This window comes from Homo sapiens, chromosome 17 (genome assembly GCF_000001405.40).
Source record: "Homo sapiens chromosome 17, GRCh38.p14 Primary Assembly".
Lineage (NCBI taxonomy): Eukaryota > Metazoa > Chordata > Mammalia > Primates > Hominidae > Homo > Homo sapiens.
The window spans coordinates 50094737-50117320 of record NC_000017.11 but is presented as its reverse complement, the minus strand read 5'-3'; the positions used below and the strand labels follow the sequence as shown (position 1 = coordinate 50117320).

General features: G+C 56.6%; 2 protein-coding genes and 1 long non-coding RNA gene across 8 annotated transcripts in view, besides 10 other annotated features; 2 read left to right on the top strand and 1 right to left on the bottom strand.

The window, feature by feature from the left end:
• Positions 1-76: part of a silencer, noted in NCBI's record as "silent region_8680", that runs on past the window's edge. NCBI's record gives its function as "represses an Ori minimal core promoter by ATAC-STARR-seq in GM12878 lymphoblastoid cells {active_cell/tissue: GM12878}" and the evidence as "EXISTENCE:reporter gene assay evidence [ECO:0000049][PMID:35858748]".
• Positions 1-7281, top strand: part of SAMD14 (sterile alpha motif domain containing 14) — a 20121-nt gene extending 12840 nt beyond the window's left edge. For 2 of the 3 annotated variants that reach the window (NM_001257359.2, XM_017024322.3), the window contains 6 exons: positions 1231-1318; positions 1417-1491; positions 1598-1757; positions 3015-3134; positions 3242-3397; positions 4273-7281. In NM_001257359.2, the coding sequence (NP_001244288.1) occupies positions 1231-1318; positions 1417-1491; positions 1598-1757; positions 3015-3134; positions 3242-3397; positions 4273-4428 (755 nt within the window). In that variant the 3' untranslated portion in view covers positions 4429-7281. Of the gene's footprint in view, positions 1-1230; positions 1319-1416; positions 1492-1597; positions 1758-2880; positions 2965-3014; positions 3135-3241; positions 3398-4272 lie in introns of all 3 variants that reach the window. The other variant, NM_174920.4, reaches the window with a different exon arrangement.
• Positions 919-1462: an enhancer, noted in NCBI's record as "H3K27ac-H3K4me1 hESC enhancer chr17:48193223-48193766 (GRCh37/hg19 assembly coordinates)". NCBI's record gives its function as "activates a minimal SCP1, AML or CMV promoter by ChIP-STARR-seq in primed H9 embryonic stem cells {active_cell/tissue: H9 hESC(primed)}" and the evidence as "EXISTENCE:reporter gene assay evidence [ECO:0000049][PMID:30033119]".
• Positions 2632-3227: an enhancer, noted in NCBI's record as "H3K4me1 hESC enhancer chr17:48191458-48192053 (GRCh37/hg19 assembly coordinates)". NCBI's record gives its function as "activates a minimal SCP1, AML or CMV promoter by ChIP-STARR-seq in naive H9 embryonic stem cells {active_cell/tissue: H9 hESC(naive)}" and the evidence as "EXISTENCE:reporter gene assay evidence [ECO:0000049][PMID:30033119]".
• Positions 4153-4838: an enhancer, noted in NCBI's record as "H3K4me1 hESC enhancer chr17:48189847-48190532 (GRCh37/hg19 assembly coordinates)". NCBI's record gives its function as "activates a minimal SCP1, AML or CMV promoter by ChIP-STARR-seq in naive H9 embryonic stem cells {active_cell/tissue: H9 hESC(naive)}" and the evidence as "EXISTENCE:reporter gene assay evidence [ECO:0000049][PMID:30033119]".
• Positions 4839-5524: an enhancer, noted in NCBI's record as "H3K27ac-H3K4me1 hESC enhancer chr17:48189161-48189846 (GRCh37/hg19 assembly coordinates)". NCBI's record gives its function as "activates a minimal SCP1, AML or CMV promoter by ChIP-STARR-seq in primed H9 embryonic stem cells {active_cell/tissue: H9 hESC(primed)}" and the evidence as "EXISTENCE:reporter gene assay evidence [ECO:0000049][PMID:30033119]".
• On the bottom strand, positions 5169-22584 carry PDK2 (pyruvate dehydrogenase kinase 2). 4 transcript variants are annotated; one of them, NM_001199898.2, is made up of 12 exons: positions 22423-22584; positions 21035-21189; positions 19757-19898; positions 11879-11950; positions 11252-11436; positions 10438-10527; positions 10168-10245; positions 9089-9165; positions 8904-9002; positions 8602-8709; positions 7921-8034; positions 5169-7364 (listed from the first exon to the last, which is right to left on the bottom strand). In NM_001199898.2, exons 3-12 carry the CDS (start codon positions 19822-19824, stop codon positions 7224-7226), a joined length of 1032 nt encoding a protein of 343 aa, NP_001186827.1. In that variant the 5' UTR covers positions 19825-19898; positions 21035-21189; positions 22423-22584; the 3' UTR covers positions 5169-7223. The 4 variants fall into 4 exon arrangements, with proteins under 4 accessions (NP_001186827.1, NP_002602.2, NP_001186828.1 ...); NM_002611.5 differs by lacking the exons at positions 21035-21189; positions 22423-22584 and adding an exon at positions 21768-21970; NM_001199899.2 differs by lacking the exons at positions 21035-21189; positions 22423-22584 and adding an exon at positions 21511-21626.
• Positions 8855-10054: an enhancer, noted in NCBI's record as "MED14-independent group 3 enhancer chr17:48184631-48185830 (GRCh37/hg19 assembly coordinates)". NCBI's record gives its function as "activates an origin of replication core promoter dependent on BRD2, BRD4, P300/CBP and CDK7 cofactors, and independent of MED14, by STARR-seq in HCT116 cells {active_cell/tissue: HCT116}" and the evidence as "EXISTENCE:reporter gene assay evidence [ECO:0000049][PMID:35650434]".
• PDK2-AS1 (PDK2 antisense RNA 1) lies at positions 14925-19423 on the top strand. The gene is made up of 2 exons (XR_007065842.1): positions 14925-15468; positions 16256-19423. It is a non-coding gene; the product is annotated as a PDK2 antisense RNA 1 (long non-coding RNA).
• Positions 15708-16317: an enhancer, noted in NCBI's record as "H3K4me1 hESC enhancer chr17:48178368-48178977 (GRCh37/hg19 assembly coordinates)". NCBI's record gives its function as "activates a minimal SCP1, AML or CMV promoter by ChIP-STARR-seq in primed H9 embryonic stem cells {active_cell/tissue: H9 hESC(primed)}" and the evidence as "EXISTENCE:reporter gene assay evidence [ECO:0000049][PMID:30033119]".
• Positions 20539-21054: an enhancer, noted in NCBI's record as "H3K4me1 hESC enhancer chr17:48173631-48174146 (GRCh37/hg19 assembly coordinates)". NCBI's record gives its function as "activates a minimal SCP1, AML or CMV promoter by ChIP-STARR-seq in primed H9 embryonic stem cells {active_cell/tissue: H9 hESC(primed)}" and the evidence as "EXISTENCE:reporter gene assay evidence [ECO:0000049][PMID:30033119]".
• Positions 21055-21570: an enhancer, noted in NCBI's record as "H3K4me1 hESC enhancer chr17:48173115-48173630 (GRCh37/hg19 assembly coordinates)". NCBI's record gives its function as "activates a minimal SCP1, AML or CMV promoter by ChIP-STARR-seq in primed H9 embryonic stem cells {active_cell/tissue: H9 hESC(primed)}" and the evidence as "EXISTENCE:reporter gene assay evidence [ECO:0000049][PMID:30033119]".
• Positions 22102-22221: a silencer, noted in NCBI's record as "silent region_8679". NCBI's record gives its function as "represses an Ori minimal core promoter by ATAC-STARR-seq in GM12878 lymphoblastoid cells {active_cell/tissue: GM12878}" and the evidence as "EXISTENCE:reporter gene assay evidence [ECO:0000049][PMID:35858748]".

Genomic DNA, 22584 nt, shown 5'->3' with positions numbered 1-22584 from the left:
AGGGGCAGCTGAGCAGGGTGGCTGGGGGAGGTGAAGAGTAAACGCCGCCGCTCACTCATTCTTTACCGAGCGCCTACTAAGTGCCAGATCCTGTGGGCTCTGGGACACCCAGGTGAGCAAACACATGCAGTCTTTATCATCATAGTGGTTTAGTGGAGAAACAATCAAATCAGGCCTGGCTGGCGGCTCACGCCTGTAATCCCAACACCTTGGGAGGCCGAGATGGAGGATCGCTTGAGCCCAGGAGTTCGAGACCAGCCTGGGCAACATAGCGAGACCGTCTCCAGAAAAAATTAAAAAATTAGCCCCGCGTGGTATGCACCTGTAGAACCAGCTACTTGGAAGGCTGAGGCGGGAGGATAGCTTGAACCCGGGAGTTTTGAGCTGCAGTGAGCTATGATCACTCCTTGCCTCAAAAACAAAACAAAACAAAAACCCAATCAAATCATCCCTTAACTAAATGTCTAGTTATAAACTATAACAAGTGCTATTTGGGAAATGTGTGCGGCAGCATGGCGGGAGAGCATACACCAGGATGCTTGGCCTGGCTAGGAACATCCTGGAAATGACATTTGAGCCAAGTTTGGAAGGTTGGTTAGATGTTGGCCAGGATAGGCCGAGTGCAGTGGCTCACGCTTGTAATCCCAGCACTTTGGGAGGCCGAGGCGGGTGGATCACCTGAGGTCAGGAGTTCGAGACCAGCCTGGACAACATGATGAAACCCTGTCTGAACTAAAAACACAAAAAATTAGCCGGGTGTGGTGGCGGGCGCCTGTAATCCCAGCTACTCAGGAGGCTGAGGCAGGAGAATTGCTTGAACCCGGGAGGTGGAAGTTGCAGTGAGCCAAGATCACGCCATTGCACTCCAGCCTGGGCAACAAGAGCAAAACTCTGTCTCAAAAAAAAAAAAAAAAAAAAAAGTTGGCCAGGATAAAATTGAGTAAATGGTAGTGATTCCTACCTTTTTGGAACGTTTTATAGTTTGTAAAAGGCTGTCATAAGCATCCCATTAGGTCCCATGAAGCAGGTAGATGTTATTATCCCCATATTTAAAATGGAGGAAGGCCAGAGAGGTAAAGTGGCTTATCCTAGGACACCCAGCTAGTGAAGGCCACCAGAGCCAGGATGCCTGATTCTAAGTCAAGAGAATTTCTACCACCCCACACTGGCAGCCGAAGGAGGCAGGCAGGGCAGCAAACAGGCAGTTTCCTTCCTTCTCTCCCTGGAAAGATGACAGCCGTGACGCCAGTCCTCCTGAGCCCGCCAGCCCCACCATCGGCCTCGATAAGAAGACTCGCCGAAAGTTCCTGGACCTGGGGTGAGTGGAGGCGGGGCTAGATCGCAGGGCTTGGAGCTGCTGGGGTAAGGGGTAGCACAGTGGGCAGCCCTGCCCCACTTCCTGCTGCCTCCCCACAGGGTCACCCTGCGCCGAGCATCCACGGGCAAGAGCCGGAAGGAGAAAGGCAGCAACCGACTGTCCATGGGCAGCAGGTGAGAGGTGCCCATGGCGGCCCACCCACAGCTCCCGCCCCTGGCTCCCCATGTGCTCTGGTCCTCCCCTCTGTACCCACACCCATGCTGGACACTCTCTCTGCAGGGAGTCAGTGGAGGGGTCCGGCAGGTCAGGGGGCTCCCCGTTCCTGCCTTTTTCCTGGTTCACGGACAGCGGCAAGGGCTCAGCATCCTCGGGTAGCACCACCTCCCCCACCTGCTCCCCTAAACACGAGGGCTTCAGCCCTAAGAAGTCAGCTTCCCAGGTAAGTCCATGCCTTTCTTGTCCCCAAACTGGCCCCCAGTCTCAGGTGACATGAGGGCGTACTTCACCTTGGCTCAGGCTGGGATTCAGACATTCCTGGAATCAATTTGTCCATCCATGGAGCCATGCAGTGATCCGTTACTTCATGCATTCTCTGAATTCATTCGTTCACTCTTCCACTCCTTCATATTCTGAGTAGTTCATTCCTTGATTCAGTCAATGCTTCATGCATTCAACAAATCACTAAACACTGATTCCCTACTGTTCACCCAGCTGGAGACTTCCTTCATTCCTGCTAACTCTTCTGCCTGGTTAAGTTCTAACCCCACTCCTGTGTGAGGAGCTGGGCCACCTGCTTGGTAGGGTGAGGCCTGGGGGATATAGAGACAAACAGGACCCCAACCTAGTGGTCTGAAAGCTTACAACCCTATGTGATGTGAGACGAGTAAGAGAAGCAATGATGAGCAACTGCTTATGTTCAGAGCGCCCTCTACAGTTTACAAAGCCCCAAATGCGTTTCTGCTTTACTCTCACAAAGGCTCGGTGAAGTAGGGAGGGAAGGCATGCTCATCTCCATTGTACAGATGAGCAAAGGAAGGCCCAGAGAGAAGGGGCTTGCCCACAGACTGGCACAGATATAGGTGCCAAGCTCTACAACCCCCAGCCCAGTACTTGTTCTACGGTTCTGTTTCTTACGTGCAGCTGGGCAGAGGAGAAAATCAGAAGCTGGGAATTCTGGGAAGAAAGAATCCCTTCGGACCTGGAACTTCCTTCTTTCCTCCTTCTCTTTCTTCCTTCCCTTATGCTGGTCACTGGGACACCATGATGAACAAGATACAACCCAGGCCCTCCTAGAGCTCACAGTCCAGTGAGGATAAAGACCTCTAATCAGGCACTTATTAGCTGGGGTACTAAGGCCAGGCGGGAGGCGCATAGCAGAGACACCTGACCCAGCCTGGGGGAATCTCGGTGGTCTGCCTGTAGGAAGTGACACCTTGCCTGAGACCGCCTCCATTCCTACTAACCTGGCTTGGTTCTAGCCCCATGTCCTCCAGATGGCTGCCTGCTCTCCCAAAGGCTTCAGGTCCTGATGCCTGACATGAGTTATCATGTCCTGTGTGCAGGCCCAGCTCCTGGCTCATGCACAGGAGGCACTGAGCAACTCCTGGTGCCTAGTCCAGGACTTCGGCTCCACCCAGATAGGGATGGTGGGTTGGGGGTGAACTCTCCTCAGTGGCATGCACCTTTTTCTGTCTAGGAATCCACTCTGAGTGATGACTCCACGCCCCCCAGCAGCAGCCCCAAGATCCCCAGTGGGCCCTGGCAGGAGGCCAAATGTTCTTACCCCTACCACACGCTGTCTCAGTCTTCAGATGAGGTGAGCAAGGCTGGCCCAGGGTGCCCACGGAGTCCTGACCTCTGACTCTGCAAGGTGCTCAGGTCACAGGCCAAGCCTCCCCCTCACTCTCCTTGGTCTCTGCCCAGTTCCTGGATGAACCCCTCCCCCCTGTCCACCACTGGACCAGCCAGCAGGTGGGCCAGTGGCTGCAGAGCCTCAACCTGGAACAGTATGCTGCTGAGTTTGCTGCACGGCAGGTAGACGGGCCGCAGCTGCTGCAGCTGGACGGAAGCAAACTAAAGGTGGGTCAGAGTGGAAGGGCCATGACCCAGCCCAGTTACTTGAGGTGACTTTCAAGGATTTGAAGTCCCTCATCCTGACCTTTGACCCTCAGCCCAGCCTCCTGGGCTGACCTTTTCACTCCATCTGTGGCCACCACCCTGACCTCTGACCTCTAGGCAAGGTCCTTGGTCTAATCTTTTGAGTTGTAGCATGAATCCCTAGTTTGACTTGAAACTCTAGTCCATGACTTCAGTGTGACCTTCAAGCTCCAGCCCTGGTCTCCAGGCTGACCTTGCCCTCTAGGATGACCCTTGATGCATATGAGTGTCCTGGTATCATGGGAAGCCACATCTCCCCCTGGTCAGCTTGGTCTGATTCTGTCTCAGAGGCTAGTGGTAATAGTGGGCAGGGGGAGGCTGTAGGAAGGGGGTGGTGGCCTCTGACCTATAAGCTGGGAGGTTCCTGGCCTGTCTCCTGCTCTCTGCTGAGTTGCTTGGGGCAGGGATGGTGAAAAGAGCCCCCAGGAAGTCTCTGGAAGTGAGGAGGGTCCTTGGGCACTAACTGTGTGACCTTGGGCAAGTGACTCCCCATCTCTGGGCCTCAGGAGGTTGGGCAGGTCCGGGCCAAGGCTGAAATACTGAGTGGAGGAATGGTGGGGGAGGAGGAGGAAGCGCCTAATACCCCCAACCCTCATCTTTCCCAACCACACTCATTCCAAATTCTTGCTCTGGGGGTTCTGATCCATGGGCAGGTCACGGTGTGGGAGGCGGAGGCTCCACTCCAGGGAGGATTTGGAGCTCCACAGAGTACACCTGGGGCAAAAGGAGCCTGGGCGTGGGAGGCCAGGACTGGGAAGGTTCTGGGACTCTCTCCCTCACCCCGGACTCCTCCCCAGAGCCTGGGGCTCAGCAACTCTCATGACCGGGCACTGGTGAAGCGCAAGTTGAAGGAGATGGCAGCAGCTGCCGAGAAGGAGCGCAAGGCCCAGGAGAAGGCTGCGCGGCAGCGGGAGAAGCTCCGGCGCCGAGAGCAGGAGGCCAAGAAGAGCTAGGGGAGGGTGCACAGGCGCTGGCACCCGGCAGGGGCAGCCACTGGCTCCGCGGGCACAGGCCTCACCAGGGAGGCTGGACCTGGGCGCTGCACTTGGGCTAGCCTGGTCCCACGCTCTCAGGGGGGACATGCTCTCTCTTACCCTGTCACTTGGTCTAGACCCAGAGACCCCAGAAAGGGAGACCCCAGGGAGAGGGCCTAGTAATAAATCCTATTTTGAGGACTTGTTTGGCACAGAGTTCCTGGGGGAGGAGCAGATGAAGGGGAGAGGGCAGAGAGGCCAGGGCTGAGGCAAGTCTGGGAGGCTGGGTCAGGCTGTCCCATTGCCCTCAGGCCATCGTGGGGCTGGGGTGGAGGGGAGCTAGGAGGCCTGCCTGCCTGCTTGCCTGCCAGAGGCCCTGAGGCCGGGCCCCAGGGCTCAGAGCTGGGCTGGGCATTTCAGCAGGAGCCCATGTGGGAGCGGCTCCTCTCCACTCTTCCAGGGGGCTGTGTGGTGGGAGAGCTCTGTCCTGCTCCCCCAAGAGGCCAGTGGGCGCTGCAGCAAGTCGCACTCAGGGTAGACTCCCAGCCAAACTCCTCAACAGGAGCGCAGAGAAAGCAGCCTGGGGCGAGTGCAGTCTTTGCCAGGACTCAAGAGGGGAGGATGAACATCCCCTTCTCCCTCTCCCCTCCTCTGTCCTGTGGGTCCCAGGGGGCGAGATGACACCACACAGGTCTGCCTCTCAGGGCCCATTCAAGACCTGGTCTTTGACCCATTCTCCAAGCCAGGACTCCCTTCACTTCCTGCTGCTTCCTCAGAGGGCACCTAAGTCCTCTTTGGGAGCTGAGCAAACAGGAACTGATAGGGACAGAGGACACCACTTCCACCAGCCAAGGCCTAGGAGCTGCTGACCTGGTCAGCCCTCACCCCAGCCAGGCAGAGAGGCAAAACCTGGGGGTCCCCGGCAGCTACGAGATTGGAAAGGTTCATCAGCCCTCCCCCATCTGCCCCAGGCATTGTCAGGGAATCAGTGGGCTCAGAACTGGCAGGCGGTGCAAGCTCTGCTTCCCTGGGCCACACTGAGGGCTGGGGCCAGCTCCCTGGATGGGGGTGGAGTTTACCAGCAGCCTGGGGACAGCATGTGTCCTTTTTAGGAAATGTCCTTGGAGGAAGTGTTCATGTGTGGCGCTGGTCAGCAGCTAGTCCCGCTTCCAGGACACTGGTCAGAGTTACCGATGAGGCCTGGGGGCTCCCGCTTGGAAACCCCTCCAGCTCCTCCCATCTGCCCAGACAGAGCGGCAGATGGCACCAATGCATGCTGGCTCCCTCATTCCTGCCCAGGGGCTGTGGCTTACGGCCAGCACCCTGTACCTGGGACTCAGCCCTTATCCCCCCTCTGCTATCTGTGCTGGGAGAGGGGCTTCGGAGGGAAACAGATATGAGGACACTGGCACCATCTGGGCCTGGTGGCAGGGCCATGGGAGGTTGGAAGGCACCCACATCCTTAAAGCCATCAGTAGCTATAGTGGGTGCCCACCTGCATGTGAAGGGGAGGCAGTTCTCAATTTATTTCAATAAATCCTTATGATGTGCCAGTGACCAGAATTTCTGTCTGCTCCAGTTGTTGGGTTGGCCGGACTCTGCTGGGCCCTGAGTATGGTGGGACAACAGGTCTGTCACCAGGTGCTGGGCCATCCGGCGTTCTGAACAGATGGCTTTGCCCAGTGTTTTACTCACAGTCCTGAGCTGGGCCGGACGTCCCCGGTGCGTCATGTGGTGGTCACAGGGCACCGCAGTGTGCGTGTGTACGTGCGCACGTGTGGGTCCCCTCCCCCAGGGATGCAGCCAGGCCAGTCTCATTCAGTCTCCTCTTTACTGTGGGTGTGGGTGTCACTGTCACTGCCACAGCCACTGGGAGGGACACACAGCTTTAACCCCTGTGTGCTTAGGGGAAGGGTGGGGGCATTCAGGGTTATAAAACTAACTATATACACAGAAGGTCCTAGGGAGAAAGCCACCCTGAGCACACATGTCTGGGCACAGTGGGGGCTGGGGGCTGGAGCTCAGGCAGGATGGACTAGGCTTGTGGAGGAGCGGGTGGGCATGAGCATGTGAGGACATGCTGGGAGGGCTCAGGAGGTGGCACAGACATTGCCAAGGCCACTGCAGGGCCTCGAGCAGCTTGGCTGGATGGCAAGCTCTCGGTCTAACAAGGTTCTTCCACTTTAGAGTTGGGCCCTGTGAGAGCCACCCCCTCCGCCACCGACCTTCAAGCCCTGAGCGGAGGGAGAGGCTGCAGGACCAGCCTCATTCCCCACTCACGGGTGTAACTCCTTTCCCCACTCAGTCCCCAGGTCTGGAGGGCACCCACCCTCTTCCTAACACTTCAGCAGGCCAAGGCCAGGGTGCCTTTGTGGGCTGGGGGAATAAGGCAACGGGACATCCACTTGGAAGGCCTGTGCTGTGGAGGGTGCTGAGGGGGACCCAGTACCCCTGGCAGAAAAGTGACAGCCCTGGTCTCAGAGAGGAGGACTGCCATGGGAAAATGTCTCTGGGACACCCCATCAGGGTGGAGACATCCCTAACCCTCAGGCATCGCCCACAGAGATAGGGAGGCCACCGAGGGGTCTCCACAGAGATGGACTGGCACTTAGGGACCATCACAGACCTATCACCGCAGTGACTTCCATAGAGACAGAACCTGGTCATCAGGGAGAACCCACCCCCTGCTCCCCCAGGAGGATGGTGAGGGGCACCACGGTGGGGGGACCCAGAGGCGGCAGTCCGTCCTCTCAGGTGCAGATGCACGGCGGCCCTTAGCTGACGCGGTACGTGGACGTGTTCTTGGGCTCCGTGCTGGGCACACACCAGTCGCCGGCCTCCTGGATGGTCTGGTAGTGGCGCCAGGCTGACTTGTTGTAGACAGGCAGGCGCTCCACCGAGTCCGTGGACAGGGCCTGGGGAGTGTCAGGGTCAGCCCCTCCCACCTCCCTGTGCCTTGTCCACTCCTCAGCAGACCACCCCACCCCAGCTCAGCGGCAGCCCAGCTGCCAGACACGGGGGCCTGGAAAGACCACAAAAGGGTGGTCCCTCCTGTGTCCCGCTCCTGCCCATTCAAGCAAGCAGCTCCCTCTAAGGGAGGGAGAGGGAGGGGGAGGAGGCTGGGCTGTGTGACCCTGAGCAAGTCACGGACTCCGGGCCTCAGTCTTCTCCTCTGAACTGAATGGCAAGACCTAGGGTGTCCCCTTCCTTCTGGGTCTAACAAGTCAAGGGTTCCCAGCACAGGGGTCTTAATCATAGACCACAGACTCCCCTAAATTCCCTGACAAGCAGTGCGTGTCTGGGGGTTGAGGGTTCTTCAGGTTGAGGAACTGTAGCTTTGCTTGGATTCTCAGAGTCTGGGGCCAGGGAAGGACTGGGGGGATGGAAAGGAAAGCTCGCAGCTGGCCAAGGCTGCCCAGGTCCTATCAGCAAAGCTCTTCTCCAGCTGGGCTCTGCGGGAAGGGCCCTCACCTTGAGATAGATGACAGCATCGGTCCCAAAGCCTTCCATGGAGAAGAGCTGCAGGTCTCCCTGGAAGTACTTGGCGTAGAGGCGGGAAATGGGGAGCCCATAACCAAAGCCAGCCTGCAGCGGGGCAGGAAGGCAGTGAGGATGAGGAGGCTGGCAGGGGCCTCCTGGAGCTGCAGGGACTGATGCAGGGAGGGAAGGGTGTGGAGCTGGGGTCACATGGCAGGGGTCCCAGAGCTGGGAGGGGACATGTGGGAGGGGACACTGAGGTAAGAAGTGTGTGTGGGGTGAATGGGGCAATCATGAATGCGGGAGGGAGGCTTGGGCAGAGAGAGGAGTTCCGCTCAGGGGCCAGGAAGTCAGAGCAGGCCCCACGGCTCCTTTGAGTCTCAAGTTTTCTAACAGGGAGGTGCTGACAAGTTGGACAACACCAGGAGAAAGGTAGAAATTGGGGGTTTGGGAGCTACAGAAGAGAGGGAAGATGGAGGAAAGGTGACAGAGAGACATCCGACAGGTGAGATCTGTGCAGACTGGGGAGATGTGGGAGGTGCGGGGGCCCAGATTCAAGACAGGTGACTGTCACAGACGGCCACACAGAAGCTGAGTGAGCAGGGAGATAAGGAAGTGAGTGAGGAGAGAAGCCTCCCTCAGGAGGTGGGAGGGGCTGGGGTGAAGCCATCTCACCAGCGGCGTTCCCCCGGTGCCAGGCTGGGGGGTGGGTGCTGTGGAGTACATGTAGCTGAAGAGTCGCTCAATCTTCCTCAAGGGAACACCCCCACCTCGGTCACTCATCTGGGAGAGATGGGATGTGTCAGGGATTCTTTACAGCTCATTTTCCCCACCCCGCCCAATACCCCTGACCTTCTCATGGTCTTCCCCACCCCCAGGATCTGCCCACCATGTAGGAGAAAAGGAAAGCCCGTCTCCTGGCAGGAGGGAAGCCCCCACTACTGCTCCCTGGTCCCCAAGGTCAAAGGGTCACATACCTTGATGGACAGATCTTCCTCACCCAAGGCCACCATGACCTTGATGGGTGGGAGAATGAGGCTGGACTCATGGCTTTCCACAGTCGCCCTCATGGCATTCTGCGGAGGGGCAGAGGTAAGAGATGCATGGGAGAAGCCAGCCCTACTCACGCTCCCCGCAAAGCACCGGCTCCCAGCCTCCTCACCTTGAAGAGCTCAAAGAGCATGTGGTAGAGGTGGGAGGGGACGTAGACCATGTGAATCGGCTGTTTGGAGTTGGCTGCTACAGGGCAAGTCAAGACCAAGGGTCAGGAAACCGTCAGGAGGTCACTGCTCAACCACCTTACCCAAAGGAGGCACCCCCTCCCACAAAGTTCTGAGTACATGGCTGCCCAGCGAGAGACTAAATCCCCAGCCTCCCTTGAGCTGGGGTAGCTGGTGACTCATGGAAGTGATGCATTCAATTCTTGGGCCCTGCTTTCCACACCCTTGTTCCCTTCCTCCAGGCTAGAACTGAATCAGGGGTGGGGAGCCAGCCCTGACCTGTCCAGCAAGGGGCTGGCGAGAGGGAAACCTCCCTCTTAAGTAAGCCACTGGTATTGGGGTTCTAGGAAAGCAGCCAAGCTGATACACCATCTAACATGCCCCTCCTCCCTACCCCTGTTGAGTTACCCCATTTTATTTCCTTCCCATCACTTGTCATGATCTGAGATGGTCTTGTTTATTTACTTGTTAATTGGCTGAAGGCTCCATTCCGCAATCTCCCTAGCACCAAAAATGTAAGGTCCACGAGAATGGGGACCATTTCTGTCTTGCTTACTCTTTCATTCATTCATTCACTCAATTTCTTATTTGTTTGAGATGAAGTCTCGCTCTGTCACCCAGGCTGGAGTGCAGTGGTAGCATCTCAGCTCACGGCAGTCTCAGCCTCCCGGGTTCAAGTGATTCTCCTGTCTCAGCCTTCCAAGTAGCTGGGATTATAAGCATGTGCCATCATGCCCGGCTAATTTTTGTATTTTTAGTAGAGACAGGGTTTCACCATGTTGCCGAGGCCGGTCTCAAACTCCTGACCTCAAGTGATTGGCCTGCCTTAGCTTCCCAAAGTGCTGAGATTACAGGTGTGAGCCACTGTGCCCAGCCCAAATATTTATCAAATGAATTAATAATATAATAACTCTGCTTCTCCCCTGTCTAGAAAACAGTCCATCTCCTGACTCCCCGTCTCACCTTGCCCTGCCACGTCCCCAGCCCCAAGACAGACACATACACAGCCCCGCTCACTCACCATTGATCTCCTGGATCTCCAGGTCAGGTGAGGCCATGTAATACTTGTCACACAGGAGCTTAGCCATGTCGTAGGCATCTGAGAGAAGATGGGGTCATTCAGGGCATGGGTGGCCCACCCAGCAGGCAGTCCTCCTGACATTGATACTGGGGACCACCAGCATTAAATCCATGGCACCCCTTACTGAGGAACGAGTCACCCTCTGGCCAGGTAAGCTTGGAGGGGTCCCCGGGGCTTCTCTGCGGGCCAGGCACCGTGGGAATGGCTCACCTTTGACCACCTCAGAGACGTTGCAGTTGGGGTCGATGCTGCCGATGTGTTTGGGATGGGCTGGGTTGGTGCTGCCATCAAAGATGAGGGCTGCAGGCAGGAAGGGAGGATGCTGTTGGCTGGGCTGCAGTCTGTCCCAGCGCTCCCTCTTCCCCCGGGCTTTCCTCCTCTTTCTACTTTCACCTCCAATGCCTCTGTAGGCTCCAGTCCTAAAGCTGCCCCACTCCCCCGCTTCTGTCCTCCCTTCCCTGACCCCTGACCCCTCCAGCCCTGGCTTAGGCCGTTTTTAAACCTTTGCAAACCTGAAACAGACGTCTTTTCAGAGGTCTCTCCCCACATCACATCTCCACATTGCATTTATTCTTTTCTTTGACTATAACATTCTAAGAGAACTCTTACCACCTTGCTTTGGAAATTATTTGAGCATGAGGAACTTGTTTAATTTATGACTGGCTACAACTTCTCAAAAATCATAGTGAATCCTCCTGGAATAAGAAACTCTAAACAACAAATTGTTTTTGAACATAATGAGAGTTTTTATAAATACTAAATTAAACATTCTTTTAAAGATGTGACATAATTTTACATTTTGCAAACACTGAAAACAAAACGTTTTGAAATGGAAAATCAATGAGAAAGAAAAATTTTATTTTTCCATGTTGGAGCCATTAACTCCATAGTTACTGGAGTAACTATTCAAAGACTCCCTTTGTGGGGTTCTGAAGAGTGGTCTAGGTCCCCTCAGCAGCCCGGCCCTGGGCCCCAGCACCGCCCCCCCCACCGCCCGCTCCCCGCCGCTGTGGCCGGCACCCACTGTGCTGGTTGATGAGCATGCGGATGGAGATGCGGCTGAGGTAGAAGCGGTCCAGGAAGTACTGGATGTTCTGGTTGGAGACGGGGTCATCGCCGTAGGTGTCCTTGTACTCAAGCACGCCTTGTGCCATGGTGGGCACCACGTCGTTGTGCCGGTTCCGGATGGTGACCAGGGCGTCAGTGAACCTGTGGGGCAGGGCAGATGTTCACATGGGACACCCCCAGACTCTTCTCCGCTTCTGACTCCCCTCTCCACGGTGTCTTCACCCGCTCTACCCTTCCCAATCCGATGGACTCCCAGTGCCCTCCCTGCTCCTCCCAAAGCCCACTCTGATCTTTTAGCTGCCTGCCGGCAGGCTTCCCACTCGAAAGCCCAGAGTTCTCATCCTCCCCATGGCAGGGCCTGGGTCTTGCCCACCGGGCTCAGGGAACAGTGAGAATGGAGTCCATGTCTCTCCCATCAAACTTGGGGCTCCCTGAAGCAGAGTCTGTCTCCCCACTCAGACTGGATGTTTCTGAAGGCAGGGGTCTTTTCTTCCATCCTGCTGTACTTCTGCCCCAGGGGCTGCAACCCCAGATGCCCCTGGCCAACACCTGCCTTCCTGCCCCACCCAGGGCCCCCACTCACTGGCTCAGGGTGCGATGGTCCTCGGGATCCTTGTCCAGGAACTCCATGATGTCCAGGAGGCTCTGGACATACCTGTGTGGGGGCGGGAGGGGACACAGCCTCAGCTTCAGGTGGCTAGCCCCTCCTCACCCACTTCATTCAACTGGGCCTTGCTCTTGTCCTGCTCCTACGCGGGCCCCACACAGAGCTGCCGACAAGCCGCCTCACTATTTTTCTCCATCCATTTCATTTGTATGTGAGTCTCCCTGACAACCCAGTCAGTTATGCAAGAAAACTTCAAATTTGCTGGTCCCCCGTTTAGCACCTTTGCTTTGGAATCCTAGAATAGTCCTCTCAGAAGGGGCTTGGAGATGATCCCATCTAAGAGGACTCACAGATCAGGAGACTGAGGCTGAGATGGGGCAGGGAGACTGGACCTAGCGCCTGCAGTGGGGGAAGGCAGGGAGGTGCATCAACTTCTCTGAGCCCCAGTGTGGAAACAGCTCCTAATGTTTCTCCCCGCCGGGGTGTTGTTGCATCCAGTGGGCACAATGGCAGAAGGGCCAGCACAGGGCCTCCTGGAGTGACCCCCGGCAGAGGAGACAGCACGGGGCCTCCCAGAGTGACCCCTGAGCTGGGGTGATCTGGGCCAGGCACCTGCCTCGGCAAGTGGATTCTAAAATGGCAGGTGGGAAGGACCCAAAGGTGGGGTGGGCGTGCCTGGCTCTGTCCCCAGGTGGGGCTGGGGCCCATGGAGAGTCCAGAGAAGCTCACTCTACTGCAAAAGGCCAGGTAGCAGTGGGTGATGCCCTGCCACCTCCTCCCATCTACAGGCCTGATGGGGAGGCCAGTTTTCCCTGGGCTAAGAGAAGAGCTTGATGCTCTAAAAGGAGCATCAAGAATCCCTGAACTTAGCCAGGTGTGGTGGCTCACACCTGTAATCCCAGCACTCTGGGAGGCTGAGGTGGGCGAATCACCTGAGGTCAGGAGTTCAAGACCAGCCTGGCCAACATGGCAAAAACCTGTCTCTACTAAACATGCAAAAATTAGCTGGGCATGGTGGTGCACGCCTGTAATCCCAGCTACTCGGGAGGCTGAGGTAGGAGAATCGCTTGAACCTGGGAGGCAATGGTTGCAGTGAGCCGAGATCGCTCTATTGCACTCCAGCCTGGGTGACAGAGCAAGACTCTGTCCCCCCAAAAAATAAGCCCTGAACTCAGGGACAGCAGCAGGCCTCCTTCTGCAAGGGAGTCAGGTCCACCTGTGGTGGCAGATGGTACCAAGCTGGAGCCACTGTGCCCCGTGCCCTGGGGAGCCATGACCTGTTTCCCTGCTAACATGTCCAGTCTGTGGCTTGTTCCTTTGGGGAAGGCAGGAAGAGCCTCTCTCTGGCAGAAACACTTATAACCAGGAGGAAGGGGGGGCGCTACCTAGAGCCCTGCAGTGCCAAGGGCCCCAGGGGCCCAACAGTATTTCTAGAAAAGGCCCCTCCACACGAGGACTCATTCCCATGTCCACAGTGCTCTGGCCTTCACTGTAACCTGTAACAGGCAGACAGGCAGGAATCAGCCCCACGCACAGCCTCCCCCAGGGAGGCGTAAGCAGCCCCATAGCTAGTAAGTGGGATGATGAAGCCCCCGAGTCTCCAGCGCTCTTGCCACTCCAGAGTGCTGATTCTGCTCGACTCTCACCTCCACGCTTCTGTTCACACAGTGCCCTCTGCTAGGAATGCCCTTCCCCTTAAACCTAGTATTGCTGCTCTTCTCGCTCTTGCCTGACAGAGAAGAGAGTGAAAGAACCAGCTCTGGACCCAGACCTGGCTCTTTAAGCACTTGGAGCTGTGTGGCTCTGGGTAAGTCATGGAACCTCTCTGGGCCTGAGTTTGCTCATTAGGAAAATGGGGATTGTTATATCTATTTATGACTGCTTTGTGGTGAGAATTCCATGTGATGATTAGCACAGTGCCTAGCACATAGTGAGCACTCTCTAATGCTTGCTCTTATTATGGCTGGTGGCTCAAACACTGTCAACAGCTGCATGCATCCTCTGAGCCCCCAGGCAGCATCTGATACTCTCCCACTGCTTGTAGGCTCTGAATCACAGCATGTTGGAGCCCCTGTGCCCTGGAGACCTGCCCCACTGCCACACGAAGGGGGCTGTCTCAGGCCCAGAGCTCACCGCCCACCCCTCCCTACCCAGAGCTCTGCACAGAGCCCGATAGGAGGAGCTGTGGCTGCTGATGGGGCTGGGGGCCCCAACAGCAGAAAAGATCAGCCTTTCTCTCAGCCCCCATCACCATCCCTGCCACCCCAGCAGACAATCAGGCTGGCACTCCTAAGACCTCACCTGTCTCCCTGGAGAAGAACATAGCGACCACTAACACCCACTTGTGCCGAGTCCCACACAGGGTCTCTCATCTGCCAACAGCCTTGATGAGCACAAGGTATTTCCCTGTTTTTGCAGACAACGAGACCAGCACTGAGAGGTTAGTGATATGCCCCAGGCCACATAGTAAGCAGCAGGTTGGGATTCAAACCTAGCTCTTGCAGACTCCAAGTCTACACCACGTGGCCAACGGCCAACACGGGCCCTGACGGTGATGCCGCTGCTGATGGTGATGGTGGCATTTACTGGGTACCAATAGCCAGGTCCACCCTGTGCTTCCCTCCTGCCCCACTTTCACCTCCACAAGAACCCCAGAGGTGGGCGCTACTGCTGGACCCATTTTACAGATGAGGAAGTTAACACACAGAGCTGAGATTCTCTCATCCAGGCCTATGTGGCTCCGAATCCCTTGCTCCCTAAACGCACCCAAAATAGACCTTCATGCTCATATGATTCTTAGGGGAGAGAGGGCCCGCACACAGGCAGTGCTAGGGGCAGGTGGGGAGAGGAGGGGGAGGAGACCCACTGCAGAGTGGGGCCTGAGGCCCCTTCCCAGGAGGCAGGTGGGGATGAAGCGGGTGGGAGCTGGGAGGCTAAGCCACTTCCTGACTGTGCTGGGCAGTGGGTGGGGGTGGGCATGGTCAAAGTCCCAGTCTCACTTAGGGAGAGTGCCCCAGCTGCTGGCACCACCCCTTTTGTGGCTGCTCAACAACCCTAGAGGGCAGGAATGGGGCCTGGTCACGTGGCCACTGAAGTGGAGCAAAGGGCACCGGCATGGAGTGACAGCGGGCAGCGCCTGCCAGCCTCCCTCACAGGGCCAGGGCTCCTCCAGGGCAAGGGGCCCAGGCTACTCTTGGAATGGAGGGGAGAGGATGAGGATTTTCCCCGAGGTCCCTGGCCTTGCCCTGAAGCCCCTCAGGGGCCTGGTGCACCAAATGTCAACCTTGGGCCGGTTCTTGATCCTAAGAAGGGAGATTGGGGACGAGTGGCGCTGGCCTCTGGGCTGCCCACCCCTTGCAGGCCAGAGAGAGAACTGGGCTTATATAAGGGAGGCCTGAAGCAGTGGTGCAGTGACAGACAGGCACCAACAGGCGGGAGAGGCATTGCCCCCACCCCTCCCCAGGACCTGCAGGGAGGCTGGGGTCTCTGGGCCTGCTGACCTCTGCAGTAATCAAGGCCCCCAGGAGTCCCTTGGTGAGATCCGGAGCTCCCAAGCCCAGCCCAAGGTAATGTGGAGATCCACCCAAACCCTGCTTTCCAGGGCTCCAGAGCCAGTCCAGAGCCCCAGGAATGAGAAGGAGGAGGGGTGGATGCAGGCAGAAGCCAGGAGGCTTGCTGAGAGTGTGGGGCTGATAATGGGCGGTGGGGGCGGGAGGAGAGGGTGAGTGAGTGGGAGGAGGGCCCTGCAGCCCTGTGTGGGAGCAGAGGGGGTGCTGAGCCAGCGGGGGAGTGTGTGTAATTGTGTGCATGTGGCATGTGCATGCCTGTGGGTGTGTGCGAGGGTGTGCCCTGTGCACTCGTATCCACAGCTGCTGGGGAGCAGGGTGTAAACAAGGCAAAGGCTGGGGAGGAGGGTGCTCGCTGCACTTGGGGGAGAGGTGGCGGTGTCCCGCCTCCGGAGCCTCTGAGCCAGGCAGGTTTGGGTTCCGCTGCTGATTGTGCCCTAAAGAGGCCACCGAGTCCCTCGGGTCCCCATTTGCAAAATGGGGTTCATGGGAGTAAGCACCTCATGGGCCTGGGTGTACAGAAAAGATGATGCCTCGAGTACATGCGCAGTAAGTGGTCGGTCCTGCTCGGTCATGCAAGGAGCGGCTGACGGGTTTGGAGAGCTCGTGTGGCTTTAGCAGGTCCTGGGCACCCAAGCCACACCCCCTGTATGGGGTCCACACACCTTGCTGACGGGCAAGGGAGGTTTGTGCGAAGGTGCCGGCCATATCGCCTCCCACCTACAGCCCCCACAAAGAGCCTGTTAGTGACAGCAGTGAGTCATTGTCATTTGATTCTACTCTGCAGCTCCTGCTTAACCCTGCATTTTCTGGAAGCACATCCCCACAGACTCCACGCCTGGAGAGGAGCCGGGGTTGTCCCTTTCCGTCTCTAACAACACCGGCTGTCAACAATTTTGTAAAGTGAGTTCTGCTCTCCCACAGACTTGCACCATGAACTTGGAAATCTCTGACTCCACATCACTGCCCAGAGTGCAGGCTCCCTCCTTTCCCTTCAAGAATCCAGTCTCCAAATCCAACAGCTGGGTTCGAATCCCAATTCCACCACCTAGTCCCTGGGTGATCTCAGATAAGGTTCTTCACCTCTCTGAACCTCAGTTTCTCATCTAGAAAATGGGATGATAGCAAAGACTACCTCATAAGGTTGCGAAGATGAAATGAGTTAATACGCGTAGACACTTAGGACAGCTCCTGGGACACAGCCAGCCTTTGGAGGTGTTTGCTTTTGTTATTATCATGATTTATTACTACCTTGCCCAAGAAGCCACACCACAATTACATCCTCTGTGGGCTGGAGGTGTTGCTGCCCGGCAGCCTGGGGATATGCCTTGTATTGGTAGAGTTCTGCACACTTTTCACATCTAGCACTGGCCTTTGGCCCTTACAAACACAATGGGTCCCCCTTTTACACATGAGGAAGCTGAGGCTCAGAGATGCCATGTGGCTTGCCCAGGATGAAGCTTCAAAGTCACACATGCTGAGGCCAAACCTGGGACTTTCCCTCCCCGTCCAGTCTCCACCAAAACAGGGCCCACTATCACAAGTCTGTCCAGTTGAAATGTATCAGGTTTATTTAGAACCAGGAATTCTCACCTTGCCCAGTGACTCTGCCTAGAACCTCTCCCCAGCTGAGTAGAAACTCCATTTCTATGACCACAGATGAACCATGACCACTAATAACTGCATCTGCCGAGGGCTCTTGTGTTTTCCAGAAAGGAGGGTTTGCTTCTTACTCATCAAACTCAGGCTAGAGGCCCTCTTGCCAAGCTCCCTGGTAAAGTCTCCCCCCTCCTCTCAGGCACCTAGAACCTGCCCATCTCCATCATTCCAGCTGGCAGGCTGTTGCTCCTGGAGAAAGAGGTCTCCACTCTCTTACAGGCAGCCACCTCAACCCTGTCGGGAAGTCCTTCTTGTCTTCACACCTCAGTCTCTCTTGCTGTAGCCAATGCTCATTCTCTCTGGAAACATTCTTGGCAGGCTGTCTCTTCAGCGCGTTGGGATGCTTTAGCAATCCCTCGGCCTGCTCTCCTCTAAGCTGAATCTTTCTTTCTTTCATTTTTGAGACGGAGTCTCGCTCTGTCGCCCAGGCTGGAGTGCAGTGGCACAATCTCAGCTCACTGCAAGCTCCGCCTCCCGGGTTCACGCCATTCTCCTGCCTCAGCCTCCCGAGTAGCTGGGACTACAGGTGCCCGCCACCGCGCCCGGCTAATTTTTTATATTTTTAGTAGAGATGGAGTTTCACCGTGTTAGCCAGGATGGTCTCGATCTCCTGACCTTGTGATCCGCCCGCCTCGGCCTCCCAAAGTGCTGGGATTACAGGCGTGAGCCACCGCGCCCGGCCTAAGCTGAATCCTTCATTGAGGAAGTGTTCTCTCTTGTCTAACTTCATTCCCTCCTGCTGTTACTTGACATTACTTGCAAGCTTTGCGGAAGAATAAGTCAGGCCAACCTCTTATCTGTGTCACTGAGTTTCAGGAAGGGACTCTGCAGGGGCCCCTGGGGGAGTCATGGGAAGCTCAGCAGGCCCCTGCCCTCCTCCTGCATCCCTCAGCTCTCCCAGGAACACGGTGTCCAGGGAGGGGCCTGAGAAGTCCTGCCCTGGAGTCAGGGACCAGGTGGAGAGGCAGCCAGGTCAGGCAGCCGGATAGAGCCGGAGGAGGGCCAGGGAGAACAGATGGTACCTTCTGTCTCCTTCCCACCACTCCACACCACCCACGATGGGAAGTGTTGGTTGGCTCAGAGGTCCTGGACCTCCGAGAGGCAAGGCACAGCAAGGGGTGACCTGGTTGGGCTCCATGAAGATCAGGCTCTGTGCCTCATGCCTCCACCCCTTCCTCACAGCCCACACTAACAGCACAATCTCCAGAAAGTCAGTTCTCAGCTCCCTTAGCCAGGCCCCTTCCTGTCTCCACACCTTTGCCCAGGCTATTCCTTTAGCCTGGAATGCCCTTCCCTTCCTTTTAGCTCTCAGCTTGCCTAGGTACCCTGTAAGGTCCAGTGACAAGTCACCTCCTCTGCATGTCCATAGCAACTGCCCCACAACGTGTCATTCAACAAACATTCATGGTGCACCCACTACACCCCTAGCCTTGTGTGTACAACACTGCCCCTCACCATATCTCATTTAATTAGAATAAGCCCCATATCCACAGGTCCATGCATAGAAAACAGCGCTGGAAAGGCACCACTACATCTGACGAAACTGAACTGTGTTCGGTTAGGGGGTGGAGGGGAGTGGTTGGCATTTTCTTCTATCTACTATTGTGCATTTTGCAAGTGTCAAGTGAACCTGTTACACTTCCACAATGAGGGAAAAATATCAGTGTTCTTTTAAAATAATGTTTGGATTCCTAATTTAAATAAAACGAACTCTTTGGCAGCTCCCTGCTCCTAGCACTATGCTGGACTCAGTTCACCCTGCCTGGGTGAATATTATTTTTCCCTCAAGATCACAGGCCTCTGAGGGCAGCTGCTGTGACTTCGCATGGCTTTGAGCTCAGAATACATGTGGGCACGTGCTCCTCAGTCTACAGGGAAATCACAACTATATCATACTGCAAGTCCAAAAGAACCAGCCCAAGATTTCTGCAAGGGTGCCACCAAAGTCAATGAGGATTAGCTATTTACATGCCCAGTGACAAGGGACACCCTTGTTTATTCTTCACGTGACTGGCCTTTGGCTAATTTCATCCAGTTACTTAACTTGAGTTCTTGAGTGAACTCTGCTGAGCCTTTCCCTCTGTTCCTGCTGCAGTGCGCAATAAACGTTTGGTCTTTGCCCCTCCAAAGCTCTTCGGGAAGGTACTGTGCCATCCTTGTGTGTATCTGAGTATTTTCCAACATCCAAAACAGTCTGTCTTGCAGCTTGGGTTATATAATGTATTTGAAAACTTACTTCTTGTTTCTGCTTCCCAAAAAGTTACCCCCAAATAAATACTGCCTAACAGTTACTGGAGTTCCAGGTCTGGGCTGCTGGCTAATGCTGACATCAGCCTGAATTGGGGTTTTGGCTGTGAAAACCATGCTTTCCTAGGTGGATCCTGTGTTTCCAGAGAAAGGTGGGTGGTAAGAAGAGGGCTAGACACAGAGACTAGGAGCTTGACCTCAGTCCTGCTCTGGCCTCAGATTCCCACGTGACCCTAGGCAACTCCAAGCGCTTGGGGCTTTGGTGTCTCCTGTCTGTCCCCACCCCACCCTCAAAGCTGCTAAAAGCTTGGAGATGCCATCCCTGAGCCCAGGGACACTGGCGATGGAGTGGGAGGTGCAGGGACTGAGCCAGGGGTCTCACCAGCTCTGCACCAGCTGCACGGAGGGTGTGCTCAGCACTCGGTCGGGAAGCAGGTTGATCTCTTTCATGATGTTGGCCAGGCGCACAGGCAGCTCCTGCCTGAGGAAGGTGAAGGAGGTTTTCTCACAGGCATTGCTGGATCCTGGCAGGAGAAAGAGGGGTGAGCCACAGAGCCACAGACTATGAAAGCCAAAGGATGTCTCGGCCAGGTCAGCTAAACCCTTCATTAACAGGGGGCTCAGAGAGCAAGTGACCTGCCCGGGGCACACAGCAAGGCTCCCCATCCCCTGCAGGGCTCAAACACCTACACCCCATGCCTAACACTTCAGGAGGTGTCATCCTCTCCTCATCCCCAGCTGAACCCTGCTTGCCTTTAACCACAGTGGACAGGGCCACTCCTGGGCCCATTTGGAGCTGCCTCTGGCCTCAGTCACCTCACTTCTCTTTCCTTCCCTCCCAGCACACTCACTTTGAGGGGCTGATTCCAGGGGACAAAGGAGCCTGGGAAACCCATCCCTACCTAGGACTGGGCTCTGGCTGAGGGGGGCTATGGCTAGACCACCACTGCAGGCTCCCAGTGTTGTCTCTGGCCAGCCCACCTCACCCAGCCTGGCCTGAATGCCCATGTGGGGCTGCTGTGTCTTAATGCCCATCCATGGGGCAAACGGGCCTGAGAACAGGAGTCCAAATGCCTCGGTCCTTGTCTGGTGTCAAGATGGAAAGGGTGGGGGACCGAATATGGCCTTGGCCCAGGGTCAGGGGCCCTGGGTTCCAGTCCATCAGGCTCTGCTTCCAACTCTGTCACCCAGGCCATGCCATCATCCTTTTGAAGGTCTCAGTTTCCCCCATAGTACTACAAGTTGACCAAACTCTACTGTGAGCCCCTCACAGCTGTGATGTTTCTGTAATTAGGGTGCAGTTTGTGGGGACAGCTGCTGGGGGCTAGGGGTGGGCCCAGGAGGCTTTCCTACATGGGGGAGGCTCAAGACTCAGGCAGGGCAGGGGTGCAGGCAGACAAGTCCTGAGGAACAGGTGCCTTATGTCTCGGCTGCCACCTCTCTGTTCCCGTCCCATCATTGACGCAGCTGCAACCCAAGCTAGGCACTATCAACTCAACTCTTGAGAGACTGCCCCCCACCCCCAGTCCCCAGCTGGCACCATGGAAATACCACATAGACAGACAGGGCCCACACAATGCCCATTTCAGCTGCCACGTTGGCACAGCCTCCCTCCTGCCCCAGGGCCACCCCCAGGTTGCTGGTAGTGGGCGATCCTGACCTAGCAGCCCTGGGGCAGCCAAGGGAGGTATAGGCGGCTTGACTCCACATCACGGTGCCTGGGGCCCCTGCCCAGCTGGGGAGAGGCTGCCAGGCCGGAACAGATTTGATCTTCAAGTGTCCTTGCCCACTGGGGCAGCTAGGGTCCAGCTCCTTCTGTGGGTGGATGTCTACCAGTCAGGGCACTGTCTCCCAATGGCATCTTCTGAAAGAGCCCCCTTCCCCAACTGCCCCTGGCTTAATCTCACCCTCTGCCCAGGGGTGTCTGACCCTTCATGCCCAGTCCAGGTCTCTCTACAGATGGCTGCACCTCTAAACCCTGCCTCCTCACTCCCACCAGCAGACCCCCGGTTTCCTCTGGTGGGAGGAGGGGCCCCTACTCCTCCAGTCATGAGGACAACTCCCATTAACCCTTTCGCGTCTGGATACCACCCTACTCCCTTCCTGCAGTAACATCACAGCTTCACTGCCCCTTACTCTTCAAGACCCTTCATGAGGCCCACGAAGAAACCTCGGGACCGTCCTTGTAAATGCCCCCCATTCCCATCAGCAGCCCCGTCGAGAGGCCCCGGCCGGTTCCTGCTTCCCCATTAACTCTTTCCTGCCTGTACCTTTCCAAACAACCCTTCTCTGTCACTCGGGGCCTTTCTTCTCCTCCGTCCCCCTAGCCCCCGGCTGCCCCTCCCAGCGCCCCGCCGGCCTCCGCTGCCAGCCGCCTCCCGCCCACTCCGTACCGAAGTCCAGAAACTGCTTCATGGACAGCGGGGACGGGGAGAACTTGCTGAAGTGCTCTATGTACTTGGGCGCCCCTGCCAGGGACGCATTCTTCAGCAGCGCCCACACCCAGCGCATGGCTGCGGCGGCCGCGACTTTGGTTGTGGTCCCCGCGCGGGCAGCGCTCGCGCACCTTTCGGCCCAGCGACGCGGTTCGGCCGCCTCCTCCCTACCCTTGCCCTGGCGGGCATTCCAACGCCCAGCCAATCGGCTCGTCATGGCGCCTCGACGTCGCCAATGGCCACTCACAAACAACTCCGGGCGAACCAATAGCCTTCCGCCCCGGCACGTGGCTTCCCCCGGGCCCGCCCCCTTAACCCACGCTTTGCCGGGGCGGCCTGTTGTTTTGGGGAGGCCGCGCCGAGTTCCCACCTCCCCTGTGTTCACTCCTCCCTTTCCTCCGCGGGGCGAAGCCCGGGTTAACCCCTTCCTTCCCAGAGCCCCGCCAGCCCTTTCGCTTCCTCTTCCACGCCTGCCTTTCCCTTGCTACCCCCTCGCATCTCCTTCACCTGCAGGCTCCTTTTAACCCTTCCTTTCCAGAGTTGTCTAGGTAGCTTTCAACCAATCCCTTTTCTCCAACTCAAAGGTACCTGTTTCACCTGTCATGATCGTTACCTATCCTCCCTTAACGGGTCTTGGGGATTCCCAGTCCGGATGACAGTGACCCAGACTGCGAATATTTGCAAAATTCGGAACCAGGGTGCAAGCCTATACGAATCCGTCCTGTATATATGCAGCCCACCCGCTTCCACAAAGATCCAAGCGGCTCAGGAAAAG

Excerpts from the sequence above, each read along its gene's own strand:
- PDK2 (NM_002611.5), bottom strand. The coding sequence starts at position 21,885 with ATGCGCTGGGTGTGGGCGCTGCTGAAGAATGCGTCCCTGGCAGGGGCG. Across the intron at positions 11,437-11,878 it reads GACCATCGCACCCTGAGCCA|GTTCACTGACGCCCTGGTCA; the intron begins GTGAGTGGGGGC and ends CCTGCCCCACAG. Across the intron at positions 9,003-9,088 it reads TGCTCTTTGAGCTCTTCAAG|AATGCCATGAGGGCGACTGT; the intron begins GTGAGGAGGCTG and ends GCCCCTCCGCAG.